Source organism: Homo sapiens, chromosome 1 (assembly GCF_000001405.40).
Source record: "Homo sapiens chromosome 1, GRCh38.p14 Primary Assembly".
Lineage (NCBI taxonomy): Eukaryota > Metazoa > Chordata > Mammalia > Primates > Hominidae > Homo > Homo sapiens.
In genome coordinates, this window is record NC_000001.11 from 95,117,898 (window position 1) to 95,140,124 (window position 22,227).

At 42.3% G+C, this 22,227-nt stretch overlaps 2 protein-coding genes across 3 annotated transcripts in view, besides 3 other annotated features; both read left to right on the top strand.

Moving 5' to 3' along the window:
• Positions 1-22,227, top strand: part of TLCD4 (TLC domain containing 4) — a 105,091-nt gene that overhangs the window by 25,381 nt on the left and 57,483 nt on the right. The gene's annotated exons all lie outside the window — the stretch shown is intronic.
• Positions 26-22,227, top strand: part of TLCD4-RWDD3 (TLCD4-RWDD3 readthrough) — a 127,033-nt gene continuing 104,831 nt past the window's right edge. Inside the window, 1 exon segment of the mRNA NM_001199691.1 lies at positions 26-194. The gene's annotated coding sequence lies outside the window, so the exon portion shown is untranslated.
• Positions 17,359-17,859: an enhancer, noted in NCBI's record as "H3K4me1 hESC enhancer chr1:95600812-95601312 (GRCh37/hg19 assembly coordinates)". NCBI's record gives its function as "activates a minimal SCP1, AML or CMV promoter by ChIP-STARR-seq in primed H9 embryonic stem cells {active_cell/tissue: H9 hESC(primed)}" and the evidence as "EXISTENCE:reporter gene assay evidence [ECO:0000049][PMID:30033119]".
• Positions 17,860-18,360: an enhancer, noted in NCBI's record as "H3K4me1 hESC enhancer chr1:95601313-95601813 (GRCh37/hg19 assembly coordinates)". NCBI's record gives its function as "activates a minimal SCP1, AML or CMV promoter by ChIP-STARR-seq in primed H9 embryonic stem cells {active_cell/tissue: H9 hESC(primed)}" and the evidence as "EXISTENCE:reporter gene assay evidence [ECO:0000049][PMID:30033119]".
• Positions 18,915-19,107: a silencer, noted in NCBI's record as "fragment chr1:95602368-95602560 (GRCh37/hg19 assembly coordinates)". NCBI's record gives its function as "represses an EF-1alpha promoter that drives an FKBP-Casp9 reporter gene in an ReSE screen in HepG2 liver carcinoma cells {active_cell/tissue: HepG2}" and the evidence as "EXISTENCE:reporter gene assay evidence [ECO:0000049][PMID:32094911]".

Genomic DNA, 22,227 nt, shown 5'->3' on the forward strand with positions numbered 1-22,227 from the left:
CCGGGGCCCGCGGCCCCCGCGCCGCCCGGGCGCCCCGCATTCCTCTCGCGTTTCTCGGGCTGCACGATTCCGGCTGCCCTGTCTGCCTGGCGGTGCCTCTCGGGTCTGAGCTTAAAGCGGGTGGGTGCAAACCTTTGGGCATCCAGGGAGAGCTTTCTTGTTAGAGCCCACACACAATCGGGCGCATCAAGTGGGTAAGTCCCCCTCCCCCGCCGCCACCTTCTGAAACAAGTAGCTCTTATTTACCCTTGCAGTTCTCAAGTGGGTCCCATTTTTAGCCACTGAGTGCTGAAAAGTCTAGTGGGAAGGGACCAGGCGTAGAGTCGGAGGGAGAAATTGGTTTCTATTTCCATCTTTACCTCTGTAACCCCTAAGTGCCTCGGTTTACCCAGCCATGAAATGGGATTCGTAATGCCAGCAGTTTCCTACCCCTCCAAGACGGCAGAAAAACCTCTGTGAAAACACTTTGAGTCTAAATTCATTTAAGAGTCGCTGTTGCTGGTCTGTATATTTTTAATTGTACACACATTTGAGTGTTAATGTGGTGCACACTTTTATATGAAATTATGAAATTTACTTTAAAGACTGATCTTGGATAATGTTTAATCCAAATACCAGTTTGGAGAAGATGGAAGAGTTTGTGTGGACCCTAGGAATTGATGTGTGAAATAGGAAAAAAGATTTAATAAAATCTTTACGCAGTCATAAATGGAGTTGAGAAAAATTGACCTTGGATTGTGGTGTTTTAAGTGAGTTACTCCCGTGCCAGCGCATGGTGTCGATTGAAATGTAGCTTCATCTTTGTGTAGCCGATTAAGGTAATAAGTTAGAGAATCCCAGCTCCCTTTTAATTGTGCTATATATGAGGAATTTTTATCCTTGCTTATCTTTTCCTTAAATTGGGCGAAACGAAATTAGAAAAGTGTATTCCCGCCGTGTTAGAAAATATGAAAGAATGGGTGAAGAACCATGGATTTTAGTTTATTTGCCACGCCCCTCCTGTGCCATCTGATAACCCAGAGAATATTTTGAGGGTGCTTCTTTTTTTTTCTACGCCTGCAACTCCTTTTGTCCCATTACCTCCCTCTGGAGTTTGAATCTTTACTGTCCTCATCCTTGAGATGAATTTTATCTGTTTAGGCTGGATGCCTCTGACCCAGCTGCCCAATCAGTCATTATTTATTTACAGTATTAGATTTCCATTTATATTCATTTCACTCTAAGCCTTCTTTACCCTGGTGGAAAGAATAATGGGTCTTTGCTACTAATGCTTTATACTTGGAGGTGAACTAGGAATGGCATGCTCAAGGTGCTGAGACTAATGCAAACCCCAGGGAAGCTAGGTCTTCACTGGAGTCTTCTGAATAGGTCCTGGAGTACAGATGCAAGAGTTGGCCTGTCTTTTCCTTGATTTTCTGAAATCTCCACTGGGTAAATTCATCTGATTGCCAAGGGAAGTCTTATGAGCAGGGAGCTATCAGAAATCTGAGTGTTAGACTGATTAAGAGCCTTCCCTGCAAAAGACTGGGGAGAAAGAAGTAGTGGCTTTGTAGGTGTTGGAGAGTCCTCCCTGTAACCAGATAACTAGTAGGAAGTAAAGGATCCCTAGATTCCCAATTGAGAAATGGGAAAGGGGCTGGGTTTCAAAAGGGAAGTGGCACAGCTTCTAGGCAGGTTTGGGAATGTACCTGAGGTTTGATGGGCCCTTCTCCCTCTTTCTCTTTGAGAGTGTTTCTGGCTCCTCAGAGTCAAGCACAGCTGTCTTAACAGTTTTCAGACCTGTTTACTCTCCTCTTTGGTGCTCTAAAGGAGGCCCAGCGTTCATGTTCCTCTCTCAAAGCTGGTCTTGCATGTATTAGAGGAAAATGGGCAGTTTAGTTTGTAAGAAACTCTTTAGACCTCAGTGTCTCTCCCCACCCTTCTTTCCAAATTAGTCCCACATCCTACAGATTAAGGATTTGTTTGGGCTTCAATATCTCAAACTGGGATACTCAGTTTGGCTGAGAAGAGTAAACTGAACAGTCTACACTAAGATATGAAAAGCTAGCTTTTCTGTTAAGGAAGATAATGAATTAATTGTCTGGGTGAGAATTATGGGCATTTGGACAAAGGAGGGCCAGACTGGGGGTGGAGTTGTGCTGGACAACTTGTGCCCTCGTCCTTGAGAGAGGAAAGGATACCACCAAACTAGTGCAGTCACCCTGTTGTGCTTTTTCTTCTTCCATTTGCCTTGAGAGAAGAAGAAGATAGCAGTATGGAGGTGGAGTCACCATCTGTTCTCAAGGATGGGAAACAGACTTTAACTGAACATTAGGAATGAGCTGTATTCACCTGGCATTGGTATCAGGCGCTGGATGGATTACACCAGAGAATACATTACATTAGGAAAGTAAGGCTAATTTTGTAAGAAAGTCTAGGTATTTCCAGAGTGACTTTAGTGGTATTTTTTCTTGTTGAGGATGAAAGGTTGCACACAAAGAAATGGAGGCCTACTGCTCTGAGGCTTGTTATTCCTGGTGAGACAGTTGGATGTGCTGCAAGCAGATCCCAGACCTGATCAGGCAGGATAAGGCAGGAATAGCAAAAGGTGTTTCTTTGTTCAGAACATTGGTCTGTTCACGGAGAAGGCAATGGATATATAAGAAGGAGCTTCTGAACTGGTGTAAAAGGCCAAAGCTTTTGAAAACAGCCAACGAAGAAGACACGTGGAAGGCTGTTCAGAGCTTGAGCCAGCACTGGAGGAAGGGAGTCCCAGACAGCGGGACCAATATCATGGGTGGAGTTTGAGTAGGTGGACAAACGCTTGTCTAAAGCAGTGTTTCAAACATTTTCAGACTACAACAGTACAAAATGCATTTTTACACTGAGACCCAGGGCATAGCAAGTATATGTGTATGTGAAACTAGTTTCTATTTCTATTGAATTTCTGTTTCTAGTCTGTGTTCTTAAAAACTCATAACGTGTTAGTGGATCACAGTCCACTATTTGGAAACCACTTTTCCAATGGGTAGAAAAACAGGTTGCAGTGGAGCAGGCTGGGCGGAGGGGGATTGGAGATACTGGAGGAGGTGTGGGGAGCATAGAATTGATTGAGCACTACCTGGACCCCTGTCGGTGGGAGAGAAGGCAGTGTAGAGACTCATCTTGTGTCTGACAGGTGCAGAACTCACATAGATGAAATGATGGGACAGATGCAGAAGAGGGGACTTTCCACCAGTTCTACTTACTTCAAAGCAAAATGATTGGCTTTAAGGAAAAGGAAACGTGCAAGGAGTGAACTTGGATATGTAAGCACATTTCTTTAGAGCAGTAAGATTTTCGTCTGTACGCTTAATGAGGAGACAAAAGGACCCAGAACAAATTGGCTGATGAATTCAGGTCATGTCCACTTTCATGGCCGGATAGGGAGCAGAGGGGCTAGTAGTGCAGGGAGGGTGAGTAGGAGGCTCACACCTCCCCTCACAATTTTGAGAAGTTGGAGCAGAAGCAGCGGATGGAATGTGTTTTGAAACCCCATTTGCTGATCAAACTCATTAGGAAGTTGGCTGCTTGCCTCACAGAGAATTTGAAAAGTATTCTTTTTTTCTTTTTGAGACAGGGTCTCGCTTTGTCACCCAGGCTGGCGTGTAGTGGCACAGTCTTGGCTCACTGCAACTTCCGCCTCCCGGCTTCAAGTGATTCTCCTGCCTCAGCCTCCCAGGTAGCTGGGATTACAGGCACCCGCCACCACCCCGGGCTAATTTTTGTATTTTTGGTAGAGACGGGGTTTCACCGTGTTGGCCAGGCTGGTCTCAACTCCTGGCCTCAAGTGATCCGCCCAACTCAGCCTCCCAAAGTGTTGGGATTACAGGCGTGAGCCTCCGTGCTCAGCCTGAAAAGTATTCTTATTACATTTTATAAAAGGGCTAGCCTGTCAGGACTTCCTTAGAAGTATAGATCTGTGATCAAATTCCAATCATCATTTGTAGCCTTTGGGGGTCATCTAAACAGCTTCTTGGAGAAACTGATGAGGCAACCAGCAATTGTGAGTTAATTCCAGTATTTGCCCTGGAGTTAATCAAGGGCAGAGTCTTAATCTGTAGTTAATCTGTAGGCTTTTGATTTCCTTTTCATGACTATCAACATCTGGTTACAACACCGAACACTCCTAGCAGCAAGAAAAGCCTGGAGGAAAAGTACACAGGTGGCTGGCGTGGTGGCTCACGCCTATAATCCCAGCGTGGAGGTGGGCAGATCACCTAAGTGAAGAGTTTGCGACCAGCCTGGCCCACCCACATGGTGAAATGCCGTCTCTATTGAAAAAAATACAAAAATTAGCCACACATGGTGGCATGTGCCTGTAGTCCCAGCTATTCGGGAGGCTGAGGCCAGAGAATCGCTTGAACCTGGGGGCAGAGGTTGTAGTGAGCCGAGATTGTGTCACTGCACTCCAGCCTGGGCAATAGAGTGGGACTCTGTCTAAAACAAAACAAACAAAACAAAACAAAAGTACACGGGTATCAGAGTTCACCCCAGCACGTTGCTTAGTGACTGCTTGCTTTTATCATTGATATTCCGACCTAGTTGCAGCCTCCCCTTGACCTGACCCTGCCTTATCAGATTTTCTTACCTTAGTTGATGTTTTCAGTGTTTGACTTCACCCTTCCTCAGCTGTCTGGTATTTATCTAATGCTTTCAACTCTGGTTTCTCTGTTATCTCTGACAACTCTCCCCCTATCCCCCACCAACTGCCTTGTGGTGTCCACCTGACTCCATGGAGCTCAATTCTGGGTCCTGGCTTGTGACATGTTACTATTCATTGAATTCTGCCATGGCAAACTCTAGGAAAAACTGCACATTGATGAGTTTATGCATTTATTAATTTAACTTTAAAATTTTGGGGACCTGGAGAAACTTTCTTGGTCAAATTAATTTTAATTAGTTTTCTCCAAATAGGCTGAAAAAATCTTTGAAAAATTAAACTTCTCTCTATATCTGTATTTAGTGGAATGGGAGGAAGAAGGAATTTTCATTTGATGAAAAAGTTTGAAAAATTTACAAGTTCTTTTTATAAAGTGTTACTTTATGGACATGATTTTTTTTTTTTTAAAAAGAGAAATAGGGTCTCACTGTGTTGCCCCAGGCTGGTCTTGAACTCCTGGGCTCAAGTGAGTCTCCTGCCTTGGTATCCCAAAGTGCTGGGATTACAGGCCTGAGCCACTGCGCCTAACCCGGGACATGATTCTTAAAACTAGTCTTGCTCAATTAACATGTTTTGCTCCATTACATGTAAAAATATTGAGACAGGAATTTAATTAAATGCTTTGTAATTTGTTACATGTAAGGACTTATAAAGACTACAGCTTTGTTTAGAATGAGGTTTCCTTCCCTTTTCATATTTTTTAAACCTGTGTGAGTGCTCCCAAACAGATCAATTTCTTACATGCCCTATGGAAAAGTGGAGGAATCCAGGGCAACATAAGGATGAAAGGGTGAGGCCAAGAGGAAGGCTTGATCACCTGGAGCCAGAAGAAAGAACCAAACCTTTAAGACATATTTAGCATTTTGAAGATTTGAGAACACTTTATAGTCACAGGCCTCTAAATGTTTAGTGTTTTTTTAAATTGCAAAAGTAAAACTAGCTCATTACAAAAAAATTATAAATGATCAATATTTAAGAGAATGAAAATTCACCTCTGCTTCCTCTTCCAGCTCCCACCCTGGCTAGTTTCACTCCTAAACACACCTAGTTATCAGTTTTGGGGGTAAGGCCCTCCAGACGTTTTCTCTACAAATGGCAAAATGTGCCCAGAGTTATTTAGTTTTGAAAAATTTATTATTTTGCAGCTTGCTTCTTTTATCACCTTTTTCATTTAAATGTCAATAACATGTGATAGTATACATATAACCATATTTCTATTGGTGGACCTTGAAGTTACTTCTAATAATGTTTTGATAAACACTCTTATAAATACTGTATATCTTTTCAAACTTGTGTGAATTTTTGAGGGTAAAAGACCAATTCATTGGCATACTGCTTATTTTATAATTCGGGTAACACAGTGTTATCAACATTTACATATTCTGCTATTTAATTCCCCAAATATTCACTCAGCAGTGAAAGCGCAGCGTTAGATGTTATGGGGATTTCAAGGTGGGGCAATGCATCCTCCTTACCTACAAGAGGTCACTCTCTGATAGGGGGATTAGGCATGCACATTGACTATAGTATCTTTAGTTTTATTTATATTCCCCTTTGTTTCAAACAGGATTTGGGATTTTTTACAAAGATGCATATGATATGACAAGATAAAGTATATTTAGTATAAAGAAGGAAAAGAAGATGGAAGTATAAGTGAGGCTGGTTAGTGTATTTCGAAGTCCTGTTCTTTCCTTACTAAAAGTTCTGGCTATAAGCTTTCCAGCAGCAAAGAGAAGAGGCAAATGATCTATAACAAGCTTCAGGGTGTCCAGAAGAGAAACCAAATCAGAGAAGCACACCTATTCCTGATTCCAGAAGGCGAGAAAAATTTTCTCCTTTGGGTTTTCATTAAGAAAACACTATATTTGCAATGGCCACATCCTGAACAACCTTCCCAGTATCTTACAGTAAAACCTAGTGACTTTGCCTTACGATGCCATCTCATATCATGTTGCCCAGTGCTAGCCAGGGGTATCATGCCATGGCACTGCTCAGTGAAAGGTCAGTAGGGTGAGGTGTAGGTTCATGGGTTTAATCCAGAAATAGCTTTAAGAGGACCTAAAGGGACACATGAGCAATGAAAAATAGCAATGTGATCTTGTTTCTGGATAATTTTTCCACAAAGTAGTATAGAATATACAATTTCAGTGGAATTGCTATGAGTAAAACCTACAGAATACTAAGCCTGTAACTTTTGAAATCAGAAATGAGGAAGTTTTAGATGGCATTAACTTAATAGAACTATAGCACTGGCTGGGCAAAATATTTTTCTAAAAAAAAAACAAAACAACAAACACCACCACCCTGTACTTGGTCCACACAACAAGGATGGTACTTAATCAATCCCGTAAGTTAGAAAGGATTAGAGCCACCATTCTAAGAAGTCTTGATAGCATCTTCAAGATTAAACTTGTTAATAGGTTATACAGTGTGAGAATGTCATCAGGGCTTAGAGGTCTACCAGGTGGGTCAGCTTGACCCTGTTTCATAAAGCCAGGAAGAATTCACTTCCCATGAGTTATCTGGATCTGAACTTCCATGACCACATTCACCAAATTCTTGCCTTGGGAATGTTGGCCTAAAACAGTTCTTCATTATCAAGTCTGTGGGCCAAGCTTAGGTTTTTTTTATGTGACTTACTACACCTGAATTTAAACATGAGGTTGAGGCTACCTGAAGTTTGTGATGTGATGAAGGCACATCTGATTCGTTTTGCACATCACCTTACTAAGCTGTGAAGTAGTTCAAGGAAACATGTCACCATATCTAGATTTTTTGACTGTCTGGCAGTATCAAACCTGAATCAGGTAGATAAGTATCATGTTTATTGGGAAACAGTGCAGTTGGGACCAGTTTTAGGCAATGGCAATCTTATGGGAAGAGCTTAGAAAGGAAACCACTGTCAAAGTAGCTCGAGTAGAATTTTTATCTTTTAAGACTAGTCAAGAGGAGGAGGGAAAGAGTAGATCAAGGAGTTCCATTTGTAACTGTGAACAATCAATGGAGACAACTCACTACCTTCAGACTAGCCCTCGGGTAGAGTGGACCTTAGGTAACAAAAGGCCACCTAGAGAATTTAGAAACTCCTTGGCTGTCTTCTCATTTTGGCCACCAAATTATCCGGTCAGATCATAGGTATAAACAAGCTGCAGGGCCCTTAGGCCAAGGGTTAAATCAAGAGGGAAATGATCACATTCCTTCAAATATAGAATATAATATTCCTGTATGATTTGGCATGACTGGAGAAATATTAAATAGGTGTAACATTTCTTGCTTAAGAAAGGGCTGGTATTCCGGCCATAGTGGCTCAGACCTGCAATCCCAGCACTTTGGGAGGCTGAGGCAGGAGGGTCACTTGAGTTCAGTAGTTTGAGACAAGCCTGGACAACATAATGAGACGCCATCTCTATTAAAAAAAAAAAAGGAAAAGAGGCCAGGTGCAGTGGCTCATGCCTCTAATCCTAGCACTTTGGGAGTCTGAGGCAGGAGGATCACTTGTGTTCAGTAGTTTGAGACCAGCCTGGACAACATAGCGAGACGCCATCACTATTAAAAAAAAAAAAAGAGGCCAAGCGCAGTGGCTCATGCCTCTAATCCCAGCACTTTGGGAGGCTGAGGTGAGTGGATCACTTGAGGTCAGGAGTTTAAGACCAGCCTGGCCAACATGACAAAACCCCATCTCCACCAAAAAATACAAAAATTAGCCAGGCATGGTGGTGCATGCCTGTAGTTCCAGCTGCTTGGGAGGCTGAGGCAGGAGAGTTGCTTGAACTCAGGAGGCAGAGGTTGCAGTGAGCCGAGATCACTCCACTGCACTCCAGCCCAGGTGACAGAACGAGACTCTGTCTCAGGAGAAAAAAAAAAAAAAAGGCTGGTAATATCAAGAACTATTCTTTATTGAGTCGTCTTTTAATCTGTTGCCAAATAAACCATCCATAGACCCTAGTAGCTTGAAACAGTGATTTATTATTTCCTGTGATTCTGTGGGTTGGCTAGGTAGTTACTGTGTTGGTTACAGGTTCACTCAAGTGGGTGCCTTCAGCTAAAGGGTTAGCTGGGCTGAAGGATCCAAGATGGCTTGCCAGCATGGCTGGTAGTTGATACTGAGTGTTGGCTGTCAGCTGGGCAACCTCAGTTTTCTCATTGTGGCCTCTATCTACCATCCTCTGGTAGACTAGACAGGCTCCTGACATGATGGTCTCAGGGCAATTTTCCAAGATAGTGTTTTTTAAGTCCTACCTAGGCTCTAGAACCATCAAAGCCTCTCTTCTGTTGTATTCTCTTTGTCAGCAGTTGGCAAGGCCAGCCCAGGTTCACAGGGCAGAGACATAGACTCCACCTCGGGATTGGGGGCCTGGCGTGGCAGTGTCATTGTTGCAAAGGAATTTATGGCCACTAAATGGTTTACCACAGGTGACTGCATGTACTAGGAACTGTGCTTGGTGCATTTAACAGATTATCTCACTTAAGCCACATAACTATCTTGCCATTAGGCATTCTCATCCCCATTTTAAAGAACCCGCAGGTCACAGAGGTTGTGTTGTTCTTGCCTGAGGCTACTTGGTAAGTATTGGAACTAGGCTTTGACTCTAGGTATCTCTCCAGCTGAGCGGCATTCATCTTAAGAACCCAACAAGTGGGAGACATATGCTAACTTGTTCTTCAGCCCCTCTAACTCATTTAATACCACTTCCTTTCCTGTGGGGAACAGCCACAAGAAGAAAAAAAGAAGGCAGCAGGCAAAGCCCTACCTTAGCCACTTCCCTTATCCTAAGGACTTTCCAGGGTTAATGAGATCCATGATTTGGAGGTGAGAAGAACTTCCCTGACTCCATAGGTTCTGACTTCCTAGGTAGCTTGGCGGTGACTGAGTGATCCCTTTAAAAAAAGAACAAAATATATTTGGGGAAAATCATGCTTTGTCCAGGTTTTCCTTGAGTTCACAGAGTTGGCAAAAAGCCATGAGATGTTCCAAGCCAAGAGCTCCTTTTGTGATCCCTCCAGGAAGGGAAGAGCAGTGATATGGAAATAAGTACATTAGATGCCAGGTGGAAAAGGCAGTCTGTAGAACCTCTCTCTTTTTTCCCAAGAGTCTCCCCAGACAGTAGAGAGCCACCTGGTCTCTGCTTCAGCTTCAGGGACTCTTCCTAGCATAGACTTCTTCCAAGGCTGGAGTCCAGTGTTTTGTTTGAAATGTTGATTTCCTTGAAGGTGGGCTCTCAAGCTGTATAAGCTTCAAAACCGTTACTTTTTATTTGTGCCAGCTACTATATTAATTTGACCTCCCAATTACTATTGTCTCCTGGCTGAAGGCATTCTGATTTATCCAAAATCCAATGGCTGTAATTGTAACTCATAGGTTGAAAAACAAAGATTTCTTTATAAAAGTTTTAAGTGAGTCTGTAGTCCCAGATACTAGGGAGGCTGAGGCAAGAGAATTGCTTGAACCTGGGAAATGGAGGTTGTAGTGAGCCGAGATGGTGCCACTTTCTAGCCTGGGCGAAAGAGTAACACCGAAAAAAGTTTTCGGTGGAGTGAGATGCTAGGGAGCAACATTTGTCACGTAAATCACATGTGTACTCTGAGGCATAAGGCCTAGAAAATGACCTGAATTTCCTAAGGGTAGAATTCTTCAATAAGTTTGGAGTTGAGAAGCAGAGGAGCTGAAGGGAGAGATGGAGAAGGCCTTTTTCTTTTTGGCTTCATTCTGCTTGTTAAGCATTATAAAAACAAACCCCAAGTAAAGGAATAAATGTAAATGAAATAAAACATTTAAAATGAGACAAAAGATAAAAAGTTGATGCAAAATAGATGAATTATGTCAGATTTAATTTATTTTTAAATTAAAAGCTAGAACATGTAAATGTAAGCTAAGAAAATAGGAATAAAAGTTTTGTTAAAATCCAGTTAAAATTACTGTACCTATAATGGAAGGGAGAACTAGTTAGGTGTTGTGGATACCAGTGGGAGAAATGATTTCTTGGAACAGCAGGAATTTTCAGGGAGGGGTTAAAGAGGTGGGATAGCCTCCTACCCTTGCTGTGTCAGAATATCTTGGTGTAGGGACTCTCGGTTGTTTGAAAAATCTATATCAACAGAACTCTTTTGCTCCCGCAAAACAAACTATAGAAATTCCTACAAGTAGAGAAGACTTTGTAGTCTAAGCAGAATTGTATGTGTGTGTGTGGTGGGGGTGGCAGGGGAGCCTGGGATATGAACATTTTAAAGGCACTTAATTGGATCAGAGAAAGATTCCTGGAAGGCATTTAGTATAGGATGTACAAGGAAAGATAGGATTATGACAGGAAAAGAAAAGTCTTAGATTAAAGAAATGTGTAGCAGAGTTGTGACTCAACTGTCAGATCGGTTTTCTGAGCTTTGGTAGCAAGGTGGGGCCACCCCCAGCCTTTGAGTATGGATACTTTTTTGCTGAGAGTGGATGACACAGAGCTTAGTTTAGAGAACAGGGGTTAGCCTCCTTCCTAATCTAATGTCTGTGGTTGTAATTATTATATACAATTATGAGAAAAATAAAGGTCTATTAGAAATGTGTGAAAAGTTAAGCTTAAATATTTTGTTCTTTGTTATAATCAAAACAATCTGTAATCCAAAAAGATTGTTTCAAGGAGGTGTCAGTTGCCAGGGTCTGTAGCAGGCAGAATTGATCAGTTTCTCTTTAACTTGAACTCTGTTATGTACTCTTGGAGGAGTAAGGGCTGAAGAAATAGGAAATAGAGAATAAAAATATAAAGGATACCCTTTTTCAAAGTTCAGTATTTTAGTCGACAGGGAGGAACCATAGAGAAATCTTTTCTATAGCCATGAGCAATTCCTTGTTAAACCTTAAGTAATATCATTTATCTTTGAAAGGGAGTGTAACAGGCCAGGCGCGGTAGCTCACGCCTGTAATTCCAGCACTTTGGGAGGCCAAGGCCAGTGGGTCATCTGAGGTCAAGAGTTCGAGACCAACCTGACCAACATGTTGAAACCCTGCCTCTACTAAAAATACAAAAATTAGCCGGGTATGGTGGTGGGCACCTGTAATCCCAGCTACTCAGGAGGCTGAGACACGAGAATAGCTTGAACCTGGGAGGCAGAGGTTGCAGTGAACCGAGATCGTGCCATTGCACTCCAGCCTGGGCAACAGAGTGAGATTCTGTGTCAAGAAAGGGAGTGTAACTTAATTATATGAACATAGGGCTTCTTCACCTTTCCTAGCTTGGTCTTCTTTTCCTCCCATTTGGTTCAATTTAAAAAGCAGTACCATGAATATTAGAGGATTTATAGAAATTGGGTTGACTTTTATGCAGCTGGCTTCCTGTAGACTTTTACACTCACGATAATGGTTCTTTAACTTGATGCTCAGAAAAGAAAAAGAGGTGGAACATTTTCTTCATATTATCCTCCTAAGTCTTTTTCCCTATATGTCTCTTCACATACAATTAAAACAACAAAAAGCAAAAACTATAACTGCAGTTAGCTGAGAGCTTTATATACATTCTTTTAGATGCTTAACAATTTTTACATGATGGAAAAGTCGAAAATGAGTAGTTGACATTCTTTTTCTTTATTTTATTTAATTTATTTTTTTTTGAGACAGAATCTTGCTCTGTTGCCAGGCTGGAGTTCAGTGGTGCGATCTCGGCTCACTGCAGCCTCCGCCTCCCAGGTTCAAGGGATTCTCCTGTCTCAGCCTTCCGAGCAGCTGGGACTACAGGCACGTGCCTCCATACCCAGCTAATTTTTTGTATTTTTGGTAGAGACGGGGTTTTACCATATTGGCCAGGCTGGTTTCAAACTCCTGATGTTGTGATCCACTGGCCTCGGCCTCCCAAAGTGCTGAGATCACAGGCATGAGCCACAGTGCCCGGCCCGACAGTTATTCTTTACTAAAATTTCAATGTCTTTGGTCATTTTTTGACATTTTGTCAATGTTGAGATAGATAATTACAGTGTACCACCTATATGAAAATGCAGACAAAACTCAGAATGGGTGTAGGATGGTATGCCTTTTTTGGCCAGGGTTTTTTATTTGTTTCTTTGGCTTGGTAAATAGCTCATCTTCTGCAGTGATGTGCTTATTTACAAATGACTTAGAGTTTGCAGATAGAGACTTTTACATCCTAGAGTGTTAGGACTACTGGTGGTGGTAAATAAGTCAATAAATCAGTACTTCTGCAGTTGATAAGAATGTTAAAGTACAATTACAGGTTGTACATGAAACTTTTGAATGTATATCATGTTAAAAGGAGCTTACAGTAGATAAATATACTCCATTTATAATGGTACTTTTTGCTGTTGGACATATTTGGAGGTGAGAATACTTCTGAAGTCAGTATACTTTCATGCGGTAATACTATGGTTGTCAGTTCAGAAAATTCCTTTTCTAGTATTGTGATTACCCTGGTAAAACAAGGAATCTATAACACTAGCAGAATGGAAAGCACATGTAAGAGTATGTCTGTTATTATAACTGTTTTATTTAACATATTTATTGAGCATAAATTACATGGAAGACATTGTGTTGTGCATGGAGATTTAATGGTGAAGGGAAAAATGCCGTATTTCCCACCCTTATGGGGCATACATTCCACTGTGAGAAGGAAATGTCTGTTTAAGTCGCAGCTGTAAAGGAGAGGGACATGCAGCATGAGGGCAGGTAATGGGGGAATTAACCTGTTGACAGAGCTCAGAGAAGACAGCTGAAGAACCATGGATGTGAACTTGGGAGTAGAGGGGTATGGAAGGGAGTTAGGGAATAGGATGTGCACAGGCCTTGTGGAAGAAGGGAACATGGCATCTTTAAGGAAGAGAAAGAAGGCCATGTTAGCTGGAATGCAGTAAGTGAGGGCAGGTGCCAACTGAGGCTGGAGAAGATGGAGTCCTCGTAAGAGCATTGAGAAACAAATGAAGGTTTTAAGATGAGGGTGGGTAAGGAAGTGACATGATCAGAGATGGCTTTTAGAAAAGATTCTCCTGGAGCCCTCCAATTTGTTCTTCACTCTAAGGAGACCAGTTTGGAGACAGTCCAGAAATGTGATGATAGTAGCTTGAGAAGAAAATGCATCTTTTTGATAGTTATTTAAGAAGTATAATCCATTGGACTTGGTGGTAGATTGAATATGGTGGCAGAGTTGGAAGGTGCAGAAAGCAGGTTATCAAGGGTGACTCCTGGGTTTCTGGCTGTCAGATCTGAATGTATGGTGCAATAGGTTGACTATGGTTTGTCCCCATCAAAACTCATGTTGAAATTTGATTCGCAATGTATTGATGTTGGGAGGTGGGGCCTAGTGAGAGGTGTTAGAATCCTGGGGGCAGATCCCTCATGAGTGGCTTGGTGCCATTCTTATAGTAGTGAGTTCTCATTCTGGCAAGAGTGGATTAGTTCCTTTGAGAGTGGGTTATTATAAAGCTGGGACGCCACCCAGGTTTTGTCTCTTTACACATACCTGCTTCCCTCTTTGACCTTCTCCACTATGTTATGACTTAGTACAAAAGTTTTTGCTAGAAGCCAGGGCCATGCCCTTGAACTTCTCAACTTGCAGAATTGTGAGCTAAATAAACCTATTTTTCCTTTATAAATTATACAGTCCCAGATGGGCGTGGTGGCTCACACCTGTAATCCCAGCACTTTGGAAGGCCAAGGTGGGTGGATCACTAGAGGCCAGGAGTTCGAGACCAGCCCGACCAACATAGTGAAACCCTGTTTCTACTAAAAATACAAAAAAATTAGCCAGGCGTGGTGGCACACGTCTGTAATCCCAGCTATGCTGGAGGCTGAGGCACGAGAATCGCTTGAACCCAGGTGGTGGAGGTTGCAGTGAGCCGAGATTGCACCATTGCACTCCAGCCTGGGTGACTGAGTGAGACTCCAACTCAAAAAAAAAAAAAAAAAAAAAAGTAGTCTCAGATGTTCTGTTACAGCACCACAAAACCGACTCGGATATTTGTGATAACCATTCACTGAGATGAAGAACCTAGCTGAGGACCAAGTGTAGGGGTCAGGTTATGAGCTTGGTTTGAGATGCCTTTGAGACACTGTGTAGTAATATCAAGTAGCAGTAGGCTATATACATTAGCTCAGAGGAGAGATCTAGGATGAATATTTAAACTTTAGATTTTTCTACGTTTAAGTGGTAACTGAAGCCACAGGTGTAGGTGAAATCACATAGGAAACAAGTAGATAGAAGATGGTCTGGAGTCTTAAAGAACTCTGTTATTTAGTAGCTGGGTAGAGGAAGTGTGGTGTTATGGAAGTACAGGAAGAAAGCATTTCAAGGAGAAAATGGTCAGGATCTGATGTTGTGGAGAGGTCAGGTAACATGAAAGCTGCACATAGCAGTCATTGTTAACCTTAGCAACAGCTATTCCAGGAGAGTGATGTGGATGGGGACAACAGTGGAGTGTGGTGAAGTGTCAGATGAGAAATGATGACAGAATACAGGCAAATATTTCTAGAACTTTGTCTGTAAAGGAGTGGAGAGAGAGAGAGCGCAAGTGTAAAAATTCAAGCAAGAGAGAGAAACTTTATGGAAAGAGAGGATTGAAGAAGAGGTTGTAAATCTGTTGATTTTTGTTTTTGCTGAGAACTTGAGCCTGTTTAAGAGCCAATAGACCCTGGTGTGTGATGTTCCCGTTCCTGTGTCCATGTGTTGTGGGGTGGGGGGACGGAGGAGGGATAGCATTAGCAGATATACCTAATGTTAAATGATGAGTTAATGGGTGCAGCACACCAACATGGCACATGTATACATATGTAACAAACCTGCACGTTGTGCACATGTACCCTAAAACTTAAAGTATAATTAAAAAAAAAAGAGCCAATAGAAAGAGCCATTTGAGAGGGAGAGAGTAAAGGATAATGTGGAGCAAAAGATTCCCAAGAAGGCCAGAAAGGATGGATCTAAAGTGCACAAGTTAGAGAGGTTGACCTTAGGTGGGAAGACAGATAGTTACAGATGGAGGTAGTTTGTATAGTTGGTAGTGTGGGATATTGAACGTTTTCATATGTTGGCTTCTACTTTTTTGTGAAGTAGGATGGGGGTCATCTGCTGAGAATGGGGTAGATGGATGGTGTTTTGAAAAGAATAGGGACAATTTGGGAATTTTATTGTGGACTCTGAGAGGGTTGGTTGGAGTGGCAAATGGTTGGAGTGGAGGGCAGTGTTGAGGGCTGTCTGATCCCTCTGTAATTCTCACACACTGGCTTCAACCTTCTCATGTGTGACATTCTGCAACAGAGCTCTGATTGTTCTGGACTCATTGCTGAGTAAATAGTTGGGCATATCCAGGATTAGGATTTTGTCAACTCTTGGCAATGGAAAGGGAATTTGGGTGTTAGAGTGCTGTGGAAATGATGGACTTTGGGATGTAAGCTGATTAAAGAGGGATGTACAAGCAGAATAGGGCTAATGGGTTGGGAAAAAGCTGAGAGGTCAGTGGACTGATAATGTTGTAATACTGCACAGCTTGAAGGAAAGAAGGCCCTGGTCAACAAAGGGAATACTTGAAGCGTTATTTTCGAGGCAGAAAACGATGTATAGGGGACAATAAAGGTTCATGGGTGGGTAAGGTGGCATGGAAGACATGCCATTCCAGGTGAAGATAATGGACTGAGTCGTCTAGGAGATGCGAGCCAACAAATGGGCAGGAATATGGCAGGGCTTGACGACATCAGTGAGCCAGGGCTAATGTCTTTGAGTAAGCAAAAGTGATTGGGAGATTAGAATATAACAGTGAGGAAAGGAGGAGGGTGGTGTAACTGAATGGCAGGACCCTAAAAAGGATATGGGTGTTTGCAGTGGGCAGGGGAATGGAGAAATAAGGCCTGAAGGGGCAGAGGTGCCAAGGCCATCTCCTGACTCCAGAGTGTGAGAGGCTGGGCAGCTGCTATTTGAGAGGGTTGCAGGAGAAGAGGGGTGTCTTCAGCATGCTCAGAGGAGAGGCCAAGGATATGACACTACTTTCTGGGTGTAGAGCAGCAGTTCCAAGGGACCTAGAGGAAGGTTGTGGGAGGTGGAGAGGGTGATGGGCTGGGAAGGAACTTGGAAGCAAAACAGCGGTACTCAAGTGGTAGAGGATAGATCTCTGCAGTGGGCACTGCCTACATTTTAAGTGTTGCCTGATGAAAACAGGCATGAGTTAGGGGTCTAGACCTGGTGGCTGTAGGATGGTTTTATTTTCCTTGACTAGAGTGACAACAGGCCCAGAGATTGTATGTCCTGTGTGCTGCTGGAGGTGGATGATGGTAGAAGCAGAGACTAGGTGCACACCATATGCTGAGTACTGTTCTAAGTGCCCAAGAAACATTATATCATTTATTTCCTATTACAACCATGCCAGGCTAGTACTGTTGATATTTCTGTCTTACAGATGAGGAAACTGAGGTTCTGTTAAGGTAAGTTTAGTAATTTTTCTAAGGCTACGCAGCTAGCAAATGGTAGAACTGAGACTCAAAATCAAGACTTTGTGCCTGTGTACCTCCCATGATGGTGTATATACTTAACATTTCCTTCCCTGTGAAATTATTATTTTTAACATATCTGATAGACTGTTGAGAAGTTAATGTAATAGGAATTGTCTTTCTGAATACCAAAATTAAATTCAATTTTAGACCCCAAATCTTGTTTGCAGAGTCCTCTGAAAGTTAGACTAGGGCCCCTGCCTTCTGCAGACAACCCTCCCAGCTCTTCTTTTACCACTTCCATGATAGACACTTGGACACTTCTAAAGGGCTAGAGGGTGGTTAAGTTAAACTGCCCACTTGTGTCATTTTGAGTAATGCAGAATAAGTTCCTGGTCTCATTTTTTTGTACACTTTTTTTTTTTTTTTTTTTGAGACAGAGTCTTCCTCTGTCGCCCAGGCTGGAGTACAGTGGCATGATCTCAGCTTATTGCAACCTCCGTCTTTCAGGTTCAGGTGATTCTTGTGCCTTAGCCCCCTCAAGTAGCTGGGACAACAGCCGCATACCACCACGCCCGGCTAATTTTTGTATTTTTAGTAGAGATGGGATTTCACCATGTTGGCTAGGTTGGTCTTGAACTCCTGACCTCAAGTGATCCACCCGCCTTGGCCTCCGAAAGTGCTGAGATTACAGGTGTGAGCTACCATGCCCAGCCACAACACTTCTTTAAATGTTCAAGGAATGCTCTCAAGTTCGTTTTGTTTTGTTTTTGAGACAGGGTCTCATTCTGTCACCCAGGCTGGAATGCAGTAATGTGATCTCCGCCTCCTGGGCTCAAGTGATTCTCCCACCTCAGCCTCCTGGTAGCTGGGATTACAGGTGTGCACCACCACACCTGGTTAATTTTTGTATTTTTTTTGTAGAGATGGGGTTTCACCATGTTGCAAAAGGCTGGTCTTGAACTCTTGGGCTCAGGTGATCCGCTGGCCTTGACCTCCCAAAGTGCTGGGATTACAGGCATGACCCACTGAGCCTGGCCTGCTCTCAAGTTTTCAAGTTTTTTTTTTTTATTTTTTTTTAAGAAATCTTGTTCCCAAGCTAACATTACTCAGCCTCTTAGCTCTTTATGACATGATAAGATTACCATCTTTACACCACTCTAAGGGTACTTTGGTATGTAATTAATTGGGAGTATATGGGACTGATGCTTGATCAAAAGATGCACTTCCACTCTTTCTGAGTATAAATGAGCCTGAAATTTGTTTTTTTTTGTGTGTGTTTAGTATTGTTGTTATACTGTTGTCTTTCATTGATTTGTGTCACTTACAATGCTAAGGTCTTGTGTGTATGGCTATTATGCCAAGTCCTATACTTTGGTATTGCCTTTAAAAATTTTATTATATTTTGCCTTTATGATTTGGATTCATTATTTCAGCTAATCAAGATAATTTCAAAACCTGATTCTGTTAACTTAATGTATTAGCTGTCTTTCCCACCTCTGTGTTGTATGCAGCTTAAGTAAACATACAAATATTTACAAAAAATATTTGCTAAAACAGGACCAAAAAAGAGAAAATTGTATAAAATATCAAGAGATATTTCTCAATTCTACTTTGGATCATTAATTTACATGCTGCTTCTAGTTTTCAGCTAGCTCTTGGGCTCACTAACTTTGTTGATCTAGCCACTTTTTTTGGTATTTTTCATAAGGCTATCATGAGAAACTTTCAGAACTTTGCTGGGATCAAGGTATCCTTCACTTGGTATTCTCCAATCTACCAGGATTTGTTGGTCAGTTATTTGTGGAGGTAAGGTATAGGAAGGAATCCAGGATGACTGAGCTGTTCCAGGTTGGAAGATGGGGCAGTATTGTGGATGTCCATGTCATTCATTGAGGTATGGCACCACAGAGAAGGGCTGGTTGGGGTTAAGTTCAACTTGGGCGAAGTAGAACCTGTGGGGCCTCTGGATGCACAAATGGAGCCCATCCAGAGGGTGGCTGACCATTCAGGGCTGGTACATGGCGGGTGGTGAAATCTAGTTGCACACAGTATAAGCAGTGTTGGAGGTGCAGGGCGCATAGCCAGGCAGAACCTATAGTATGCAGAGAAGAGGTTCAGGTAGTGGGGGTTGGGGGGAGGTAGTAAACATTGCCAAGTTAAAGGTGTTTATGCCTGATCGCCTTCATTTTCTTGGTCAAATGGGAAGAAACCTCATCTATTTTAAGAGGGAGAACTAGAGATTTGAGAGCGGTGAATATTTGGAGTCAATGTGGGAAATAGGAAAGGGAGCTTGCCAGGGATGGGAAAAGGAATGCTAAGCATAATTGGGGCATTCTTCCCAGCTTCCCCCTTCTTTGCTGCCCTTAAAGACAAACACACAGACCCATCCCCTTCTTTTTAGGGATTTTTACTGCAAAACACTCCAGCAGTGGTTCTCACTGGGGGATTATATCAGAAAATGAAGGAGAGGGGTTATGTATGTGCATGGAAGTGGCACTGGTATTTGATATATTCTCTAAGGAATCCCTGTATTTGCAAAGGAATCACAAATGGGGGAAATGAGTGAGTGATCGTGTTTTGGTGGGGAGGGGCTGGTAATCCTAACCTCACCTACTAGAACTGAGTCTGTTTTTTCTAAAGTCAATTTCCTTTAAAATTGCCCCTTCTTCCCCTCATCCCCTCTTCCTTCTTCCTCTCTGTCCTTCTTTCCTCCTCCTCTTCTTTTCTCTTTCCCTCCCTCCCTCCCTTTCTTCCTTCTCTTTTTTTCTGAAACAGCGTCTTGCACGGTCACCCAGGCCTGAGTGCCCTGGTACACAATCATAACTCACTGTAGCCTCCATCTCCTGGGCTCAAGTGATCCTCCCATCTCTGCCTCCTGAGTAGTGGGGACTACAGGAATGTGCTACTACACCCAGCTAATTTTTCTATTTTTTGTAGAGACGGGGTCTTGTTAATGTTGTCCAGGCTGGTCTTGAACTCCTGGCCTGAAGCAGTCCTCCTACCTGGGCCTCCTAAAGTGCTGGAATTACAGGCATGAGCCCGACTGAGAACTGAGTCTTTTGGGCTCCAGCCTAAAAGCATCTTATTGGGATTTTAATAGAAGAGAAAATGTCCTCTTGGTTTACTTTTGGATACCTCCTCACTATTATGTGTTACCTCTCCTGGGTATTTATTCCTTGGAAAGCAGGGAGCATTCTCTTAGCACCCTACACTTACCACTTTGTGTGGTGAGGATCAATTTCTTTGTATCCCTACTGGCTATAAGCATGTCTCCCTATTTTGTATTCCAGCACAGTGCCTGGCTCATGGTGGACCAGAGACAGATGGATGGACTGTTTTTTGATGTGAAGACTGAATTAGCCCTGGCAGTGCTGTTTCCCAGGGCCCTATCTCTGGGAGTCCTCCTGCTGGAAGGGAAGTGCTCTCATAGCTGATAGTTAAGACATGTACAGTCATGCATTGCTTAACAATGGGGATACATTCTAAGAAATGTGTCCTTAACACAATTTTATCATTGTGTGAACATCATAGAGTGCACTTAACACAAACCTAGATGGAATAGCCTACCACACACCTAGGCTTTATGACATAACCTGTTGCTCCTAGGCTACAAACCTGTACAGCATTTACTGTACTGAATACAGTACAGTACTGTACTGAATACATTGTGTAGGCAGATGCTACACAATGCCAAGTATTTGTGTATCTAAATACTACATTGTATAGTATTTACTGTACTGAATACATGGTGTAGACAGATGCTACACAATGCCAAGTATTTGTGTATCTAAATTCTACATTGTATAGTATTTACTGTACTGAATACATGGTGTAGACAGATGCTACACAATGCCAAGTATTTGTGTATCTAAACATAGAAAAGGTACAGTTAAAAAATGTAGTATAAAAGATTAAAAATTGGACTAGGCATGGTGGCTCATACCTGTAATCCCAGTGGTTTGGGAGGCTGAGGTGGGAGGATCACTTGAGGCCAGGACTTTGAGACCATCCTGGGCAACATAGTGAGACCCAGTCTCTACAAAAAAAAAAAAAAAAAAAATGAGCTGGGTGTGGTGGCTATGTGGGAGGCTGAGGCGGGAGGATCACTTGAGCCTAGAAGTTTGAGGTTATAGTGAGCTATGATTGTGCCACTGCACTCCAGCCTGGATGACAGAGTGAGAACCTGTGTCAAAAAAAAAAAAAAAAAAAAAAAGATAAAAAATGTTACACCACCTCTGTGGAGCAATTACTGTGAATGGAGCTTGCAGGACTAGAAGTTGCTCTAGGTGAATCACTGAGTGAGTGGTGAGTGAAAGTGGAGGGCTAGGACATTACTGAACATTACTGTAGGCTTTATAAACACTGTACACTTAGGCAACACTAAATTGATTTTAAAAATTTCTTTTTTCAATAAATTAACCTTAGCTTAGTTTCTTTTTTATTTTATAAACTTTTTTATTTAAACCTTTGATTTTTTTTTTTTTTTTTTTTTTGAGACAGTTTCATTCTTGTCACCTAGGCTGGAGTGCAGTGGCGTGATCTTGGCTCACTCCAGCCTCCGTCTCCCAGGTTCAAGTGATTCTCCTGCCTCAGCCTCCTGAGTTGGTGAGACTACAGGCATGTGCCACCATGCCTGGCTAATTTTTTGCATATTTAGTAGAGATGGGGTTTCACCATGTTGACCAGGCTGGTCTCGAACACTTGACCTCAGGTGATCCACCAGCCTCGGCCTGCCAAAGTGCTGGGATTACAGGCGTGAGCCACTGCACCCAGCCTTTGATTCTTTTTAATAACACTTATCTGAAAACAAACCCATTGTATGGCTGTAGAAAAAGATTTTCTTTATATCCTTATTTTATAAGCTTTCTTCTATTTTTACAATTATGTTATTATTATTTTATTACTTTTTTGTTAAAAACGAAGACTCAGACACACACATTAGCCTAGGTCTGTCAGAACCATCAATATCATTGTCGTCCACCTCCACATCTTGTCCCACTGGAAGGTCTTCAGGGATAATAACACACATGGAGCTGTCATCTCCTATGAGAACAATGCCTCCTTCTGGACTGCCTCCTGAAGGACTTTCCTGAGGCTGTTTTACAGTTAATTGTGTGTGTGGTTTTTTTTAATAAATAGA